General features: G+C 34.9%; 1 pseudogene, besides 3 other annotated features; it reads left to right on the forward strand.

Annotated features, from left to right (window-relative positions):
• Nucleotides 3,565-4,260: an enhancer, noted in NCBI's record as "OCT4-NANOG-H3K27ac hESC enhancer chr5:51177645-51178340 (GRCh37/hg19 assembly coordinates)". NCBI's record gives its function as "activates a minimal SCP1, AML or CMV promoter by ChIP-STARR-seq in naive and primed H9 embryonic stem cells {active_cell/tissue: H9 hESC(naive and primed)}" and the evidence as "EXISTENCE:reporter gene assay evidence [ECO:0000049][PMID:30033119]".
• Nucleotides 3,565-4,952: a biological region, named in NCBI's record as "ISL1 proximal LF-SINE".
• Nucleotides 4,072-4,952: an enhancer, noted in NCBI's record as "LF-SINE". NCBI's record gives its function as "enhancer in the head and spinal cord region, the dorsal apical ectodermal ridge, and genital eminence" and the evidence as "EXISTENCE:transgenic organism evidence [ECO:0001131][PMID:16625209]".
• RNA5SP182 (RNA, 5S ribosomal pseudogene 182) lies at nucleotides 8,442-8,523 on the forward strand (annotated as a pseudogene).

Consider the following 8,848-nt stretch of genomic DNA (forward strand, 5'->3'; position numbering starts at 1 on the left):
ATTTAAATGTATAGATATAGATTTTAAGAAAGAGACATATATAAAGAGAAATAGAGAGTGAAGAAGTAAAAGAAAGACAATCAAGTAGTTTCACATAATAAATTACATCAAATACCTTGTTTTATTCATCATAATGTCTTCCAAGAGATAGCATGATGTTTACATAATGTAAAAGACTAAACAATTATTTATTAAATTTTAACATATGCAAATACTCTACCTGAGCAATTCTCAAAAGGGGTGATTTTTCCCCCAGGAGACATTTGACAATGGTTGGAGATATTTTTAGTTGTTGCAACTGAGGAAGTTATACTGGTGTCTAATGGGTGGAGGCCAGGAAAGCTGTTAAATGTTGTATAGTATGGAACAGAGTCCCCTGCAAGAAAGAATTATCCAGTCCAAATTAATAATAGTGCCAAGGATGGGAATCCCTGTTCTATTTTAATATAAATATCTGCTCTATGTACAAATATATACTTAACACCCATATAAATATATATTGATTCAAATGACATCCTGACCTATCAATGTAAAATAATAATGTGGAGTACACTCTACACTCTTTCTCACACTTAATTTATTTTATATATACATAAAATTATGGATGTGTCTGTATAAAATGTTTTCAATATTTACGGTCTTTCTCCCCTCACTTAAAAGTAAATTTATAAAAATAGGGGCTTCATATGTTTAGTCAGCAGCTACATTCTTAGTACCTTTCCCAGTGCTTGGCACTTGGTAGGTATTCAATAATGAGTGAATGTGCAAATGCATTAATATATTTGTCAATTTTTATAGATATATTTTATCTGTTTTAATTTCTATTTCTGAAGGGTTTTATTAAAAAAATAAATTTTTGGCCAGGCGCGGTGGCTCACGCCTGTATTCCCAGCACTTTGGGAGGCTGAGGTGGGTGGATAACCTGAGGTCGAGAGTTCAAGACCAGCCTGACCAACATGTAGAAACCCCGTCTCTATTAAAAATACAAAATTAGCTGGGCGTGGTGGTGCATGCCTGTAATCCCAGCTACTCGGGAGGCTGAGGCAGGAGAATTGCTTGAACCTGGGAGGCTGAGGTTGCGGTGAGCCGAGATCACGTCATTGTACTCCAGCCTGGGCAACAAGAGCAAAACTCCATCTCAAAAAAAAAAAAAAAAAAAAAAAAAGAATAAATTTTTAAATCAAAAAATAAAAACTTAAATGGTTTGTGGAAACCTGAGTAAAAATTTTAAATATAGCAAATGTCATTCCAAACTACTTTTCATAACTTAAACCTAATAAGTTGGAAGCATGTTTTAATAACCTCTAAATCTGCTATTCCAGTCTAGATTAAATTAAACATTATTTCCGTGCTACTCTTTTTTTCTTTTTTTTTTTTTTGAGATGGAGTCTCACTCTGTCGCCCAGCCTGGAGTGCAGTGGCATGATCTCAGCTCACTGCAAGCTCTGCCTCCGGGTTCACGCCATTCTCCTGACTCAGCCTTCTGAGTAGCTGGGACTACAGGTGCCCGCCACGATGCCCAGCTAATTTTTTTGGATTTTTTATTAGAGACGGGGTTTCACCGTGTTAGCCAGGATGGTCTCGATCTCCTGACCTTGTGATCCGCCTGCCTCGGACTCCCAAAGTGCTGGGATTACCGGCGTGAGCCACCGCGCCCGGCCTGTGCTACTCTTCAGAAAGCAGAATTATTTCTTAACTGCATTTGGCTAACTTTAAGATCATGGGTTTATAGGTATATAAATACATACAATCTACAGATGCGTGTGTGTGTGTGTGTGTGTGTGTGTGTAAAAGTGCTCAGTGCCTTCATTAAAAGCTATTTCCAATTAAATAGGTCAGAGAAGGTTCATATTACACTACTGTTAAATTGAAGCTGATTTAACTGATTATTTTCTTGAAATACTATTTAAATATGAAATATTAAAGGAGAAAAAGCTAAAACAAAAAAAAAGGCCCTCAATGGGAGTAGCTATGTGAAAGAAAAATCATCATATTTAATATGCGGGTGTGCTGATTTCATAACTAAAAATATTGGCATTTACAAAAAGGGATTACATATTTTCAAAGTTATAAAAACCTGTCTCATATTAATCAAAGATAAATTAATATCAGAACATGATAAAGCACCCAAAAGCAGAATTGAAATTACTAAAGGCTACTTTGTGTTTCATCACCTTGGTCTCATTTTATGAATTCCATCTAGACCAAGAAAGTAAGAAGCCTTGAAAGGACTGTCGAGATTTCTTAGTTTTACCCCTTAAAATATGTTTTAAAATAAAGTGACTGAGGTGCAGAGTGTTTCATAACATGTTAAAAACTACACTGCTAGCTAGAATCTTCTGATTTCATTCAGCTCTTCTACTTTATTAACTTACACTTGTGGAATATATTCTAAAACACAAATTTTATTTAAAGAAAAACTGCAAAGCTAAATAGATGATAAAATATACAATATAGAAGGGATTTTTGTTCAGTGGAAAGTATAAATCAACACACGCTTTCAGAATATTTTTTCTTTTAATGTGACAAACACAAATAAAGTGACCTGAAACTATCTATTTATCAAAACAATTTGTTGACTCTTTCCACAGACCTTTTTATAACTGTTTGTTCTGTATTAGGGTAGAGAGAGAAAGACAGGGTCTAAAATAGAAAATGATCTGAGAAATGTCTTTTTGCTAAAACGAAGCAAAATAAAAGAGCCCAAGTCCTTTAAAGTAATGAAATTGATGATCTACTCATTTAAAATTACAATAGCTATAGGAATGATAAACCAACCATCAATGTCTATGTGAAAGAAATCTTTTTTTAAAGGATTTATTTTGTTTGCCTAGAAGCTAACCTCCCTTGGTGTGTGAGTGACAGCTTGGAAATTGAATTATAAATGTAGGGGTGAGGATTATTTGTGGTAGGAGGTTATACTTCCCGAGGAGCATAACTGAATGGCATACCCCAGTTGGATACTTTGAGGTGACATGTAAAAGCAAGTTTCAGGATTATAGAAATGTTGGTTATAGCCATATTTACTTCAGAGACATTATGAGCAGGTGGCTCAAATTTTGCTCAGTGTCTAGAAGAAGCATTCCATGAAATCCACCAACTTTGGATAAGTGAGATGCTGAAAGTCTTCTCAGAGAAATAACATATTCTTCCCAGAGAAATCTACCAAGTCTCACTTAAAAATTCTGATTCAATTGTAACCAACAACCAATTACTCCTGCTAGCTTGAATTCCTGATTTTCCTAAATCAGAACTCTTATAGTCTAGTAATACAACTTTTGAGGATGTCATTTGGAAACCTACTGATATTCTATTATAGCACTCAGATATTTGTTCTCTTCTAGATGGTGTAGTATTTGATTTAAAATGCCAACATGACAAGGAGCTTTTCAAGTGCCTCTAAATCATGCAGGTAGAATCTCTGACTTTAAGAATAAAGCTGTTTATTGAAAGTATCAGTTAAAAGAATAAATCTTATTAACTCATTAACTCATATATACCAAGTACCTAGAGAGTATATATATAGCATTACTATAGGTTTTGTGGGATGTTGCAAAACATCCAAGATAAATCTCTAAAGGCACTTATCTACTTTTGACAAGACAAAAGGACATGCAATCTCAGTAACCATGTATACACAACCGGCTCTAAAAATATCTTAACACAGGGTCTCCAGCTCAATGATTTGCTAGTGAAGCATGTGGAACTTCTGTCTGAGAGAAACAGGCTAGTGTTTTGGTTTTATTCTCCAATGTAGTCTGTACATTCATCAGTGACAACTCATCTCATGGGATATTTCAAGCCTTTATACACAAGAAACAGCCCTGCCTCCTGCTAAGTGTATTCAAATGCTACAAGCAGCTCTGCTTTGCCTGGGTAAAGGAGTTCCTTTTTTATGTTAACAAAGGTATGTGAGTTTCAGGGGTAATGTTAAAAAGGGAAAGGTCAGAGATGGATTGGAATTTAGGAGCCCCAGTCATTTAAAACAAAGCAAGAGGATCTTGATCTTCAGAAGCACTAACATACTTTGGAAAAGATGAGTGGAGGAAGAAGATGCAAGACATTAGGAATAACATCTTGAAAAGAAGATCTAAGCCTAGCACGATCTTTTTTCTAATATTCTAGAATTGATTTTAGGAAGCAAAATATTTGGGCTAGCAAAGACACACAGCTTATCAATTGAGAAATGTAAGACGTTAATGAGTTTCATTCAATCAAAGTTTGAGATAAATAAGAAAAGTAATATTTCCCAAAGGCTATTTTAGTCAATTCTGCTTGACCCTTTGTTTACAATCAGTCTATCATTGTTATTTGGAATGCTCATTTTCTTTTTTTCCCTCTGCCCGTAAGATCATATCTCTGTACTCCGAATCCGGTAAACAGTTCCTGAAGTACTAGTTAAAATACCCTTGATCCTACTCTGAGACAGTCCTGAAAACTTAAATGAATGGTGTTTGGCAATCTCAGCTCAGTCCCCAGTAAATGTCCACATCACAAAACCACAACCCTTAATTTTCAGTGATTGATTATCTCTGCTTAGCTTAAACTCAGGGTTGAGTCAGCCAAGGACTTTATTACCCTCCATTCCTGTGAGGGTGGTCCAGCCAGGTCAAAGTCGAGGTCAATAATAGGGCAGGAAGGTACTGCCATTGCCAGTAATCAGGACTATTCTTCACTAGAACAAAGAACTTCACTCCTCAGAGATGCTGTTTTGCACAAACAGATGTAGTCTTCACTAATGATAAAAGGCTATACTAAACTCAAACAGCATATCTGATCAAATAAAAATCTTTTCATGATCCAGGATTTGTTTATATCTTAATCTAGGAAGTAAAGTATTAAAAGTGAGTAATTTATTGGATGGTTTAAAAAACCATTGAAATTGCAAGAATTGATTTATCAGTTAAAATATCTGTATACTAAAATTGAAGATACAGTTTTAAAAGCAGCTTTTAATTTAAAAACATAGTTATCAATAATAAACTCAAATTTAAACTTAAATGCTAGTATCATACTGTGAAACACAAATAGGTTTATAGATTTTTATAAAAAGGAAAATTTGTATTTACAACTAAAATGCAAAATCAAAACATCTATACTGTTTAATTTTACAAGACACATTTTAAAGTAGAAATAAATACTACTCATTGTAGGAGATTTCAGATTTTAGAACTATAGCAAAATAAGATAACCCATTAGCGCTGAAGATATATAATTATTTCATGTGATTTTCATGGAAAATTATGACAAGAGAAATATTGATTTTCATAGTAACATTAAAACCAGACACTAAAATATGTATAGCAAGTTTGATTCAAAAAAGTAAATTTCGCTCTTATGTATTCTTAAATAAAAACTTTCACACGAATTACTCCACTAAATTATGAAGAGTGAATTCTTCAGTAGCTTTTTGAACCAAAAGTCATATTTTACACAAAGCATGAGTTAAATAGAATTGGATTAAAAATTTTAAAAATAATGTATCCATAGAGAAACATATAAGATAAGAGTTTAGTGGGCAGCCAAACACACCTTTATTTAAACACCACTGTTACCTTTCATGACACTGTGGCCTTGGAGAAGTTACATAATCTTTCTTAACATTCCCCACGAGTCGGTGAGCTAGGGTAGAGAAGGTATAGAAAATAATTTCTACCATATAGCATTGTTGTAAAGGATCAAATTATTTCACAGATATAAAACATATGATACATGTTTGTTCCACAAATATTAGTTTCCTTTTTCATGCAAAGCATTCATATAGATAGATGGCTTTACAAAAAAAGGAGTTAAAGACTTTAAGTCAAAATGTAGTGAATGTTTTCCAAGTTTATAATCTCATCTTTTTCAGTAGTTAATTTTCTAGGTAACATTGAATTGAGTGAACATAATTTTAATTTTGTATTATCCATCAATGTGAAGCTTAGTTGTAATTTAATTTATTATAACAATTTAATTTATTGGCTGGTAGGCCGTGAATATTTTTTCCTGTTGCTGTGATATGAGGTAGTGTGGCTGTATCCACAGTGATAGAATGAATGAACCCAGGATTGCCTTCACAGTTCATCTCACCATCTTAATCTGTGTAAACCACTGCAAACGCAGTTTAGGAGCAGCAGTGAAGGCATATACTTGTGACAACCAAAACGGATCAATAATTTTCTGATTCTCTTGAGAGACCTACAGAGAAGATTTTTAAAATTTTATTTGTTTTAAAGAAAAACAGTTACATCCTATCAAGGTTTTCCAAACTCCATTTGATAAATAACTTCATTAGATACCAAAAGTTCTTTTACTTTTTGTCTATTTTTGCATTTCCAACCTAAAAGTAGAGCACAGTTGTAATAAAAGTTTATAAAGACATTATAGAGGTGCAGAAAATAACAAGTGAGGGTCCTATAACTTCCAACCCTACTTTCCTCGGATAAGTATTATAAGATAGTATGTAATATTTATCTCTCAGTGTTTTAGGTGCACATAAAAATATATATTCTTAAGTATTTCATGCAAATTTATGATTACATATGTTTCTGTATGTATGTATATGCACATATGGGGGTGTGCGCATGTGTGTGTATACATACAGAACTATTATAGAACTTTACAGTATTACAAAATTTTGGTCATTTAATATAAATAAGGGGCTGGGTTGAAATCTGGGGTTCTCCTTGTGATTTCAGGTAAGTTACTCAACCTCTTTGTGTTTCGGTTTACACACGTTATAATGGTATGATAAGGAGAAATTTCCTAAGGTAATGTAAAGTTTCTAGCATATGTCTGCTTAGTAATATTAGCTATTATTATTATTTCATATTAGTATATATAGCTTTCTAAAAGAAGTTTGCTTTCAGATTTACCTTTTTAATGTATTTATTATATATATAATAGTTGTACATATTTATGCAACACGTGATATTTGGACACAAGCATACAGTGTACACAATTACACATTGTATTCTTGTATCAAAATGTCACATGTACCCTTATCCCAATCAGAGTAATTGGGATATCCATCATCTCAAGCACTAATAATTTCTTTGTGTTAGGAACAGTCCAATTTCACTCTTAGTTTTTGTTATTTTTATGCTGCATAGTACTGAATAGTTATACCATATTTATTTATCCATCCTTCTACTGATGGGCTTTTGTATTTGGTTCATTTTTTGTTATTATAAAGAAAGTAGGTCAGGCATGGTGGCTCACGCCTGTAATCCCAGCACGGTGGGATGCTGAGGCGGGCAGATCACGAGGTCAAGAGATTGAGACCATCCTGGCTAACACGGTGAAACCCTGTCTCTACTAAAAATACAAAAAATTAGCCAGGTCTAGTGGCACGTGCCTGTAGTCCCAGCTACTTGGGAGGCTGAGGCAGGAGAATCACTTGAACCCGGGAGACGGAGGTTTCAGTGAGCCGAGATAGCGCTACTACACTCCAGCCTGGGTGACAGAGCAAGACTTTGTCTCAAAAAAAAAAAAAAAAAAAAAAAAAGAAAGTAATAATGATGTAGGTAAGGCAAAATTTTACCTCCACTTTTTTGGCATTCATTTTCTGTCTAGGACTGGGAATTAAATTGATATAAGATGGATTGGCAGAAGAAAAACATATATTTATTTGATACAACTTTTATGTGGCATGGGAGCCTTCATAAGGAAATGACGATCCATAGAGACAGAGTTGAACACTTATACACTGAAGGGGACAAACAATAGTAAGTTATGAAAAAGCAACAAAATTATGTGGGGAAGTATATTAGCCAGGGTTCTCTAGGAGGACAGAACAAATAGGATATATGTATCTGTGAGAGGGAGTTTATTAAGGAGAATTGACTCGCATGATCACAAGTTAAAGTCCCACGATAGGCTGTCTGCAAGTTGAGGAGTAAGGAAGCTGGTGGTGGATCAGTCCTAGTTCCAAAACCTCAAAAGTAGGGAAGCCGACAGTGCAGCCTTCAGTCTGTGGCCAAAGGCCTGAGAGGCCTTGGCAAACAGCTGGTGTAAGTCCAAGAGTCCAAAAGCTGAAGAATTTGGAGTCTGATGTTCAAGGGCAGGAAGCACCCAGCATGGGAGAAAGATAAAGACCAGAATACACAGCAAGTCTAGTCCTTCCATGTTCTTCTGCCTGCTTTATTCTAGCCACGCTGGCAGCTGATTAGATGGTGCCCACCCAGACTAAGGGTGGGTCTGCCTCTCCTAGTCCACTGACTCAAATTTTAATCTCCTTTAGCAACCCCCTCATAGACACACCCAGTCTTCACATCTTCCAATGCTTCACATCCTCCAATCCAATCAAGTTGACACTCAATATTAACCATCACAGGAGGCTATAAGAAAAGATATATGCAAATTTTTTTAACCAGGTATATACAAACTTATCTCTGTCTCAGCTTCCTGCCCTTGATGATAAGAATGTTGCTTTCCTTCTGGTACAGAAAGGGCATCTTGTCTGTGACCATACCAGCGTTGCTGTGCCTGATCTCAGAAGCTAAGCAGAGTTGGGCCTGGTTAGTACTTGGATTACAGAGGGCATCTTTCACATGAAAGTCTCATCTCCTTCTCTCAAGAAACAGGAGAAAGGTCAGGAAGCTCTTCCTTCACCTGCTGTTTTTAAAGTGCCTTTAGTTCAAAATTATTCTTAGGCCAAAGTGGTGTATTTTGGGGCAGTGTGCTCTGAACTCCTTTAATTAACTAACTTGAAGATAATTATTTGCATGTTACAGTAAATGTGTCCATTTATAACAATTTACTAGAAGTAGAACTGCTAAATTAAACAACATGCACATTTACAATTTTGAAAGATATTGTTGAGTTATCCTCCCAAAACATACTGTATTAGAATACCAGAAACGGT

This window comes from Homo sapiens, chromosome 5, assembly GCF_000001405.40.
Source record: "Homo sapiens chromosome 5, GRCh38.p14 Primary Assembly".
In the NCBI taxonomy this organism is placed as follows: domain Eukaryota; kingdom Metazoa; phylum Chordata; class Mammalia; order Primates; family Hominidae; genus Homo; species Homo sapiens.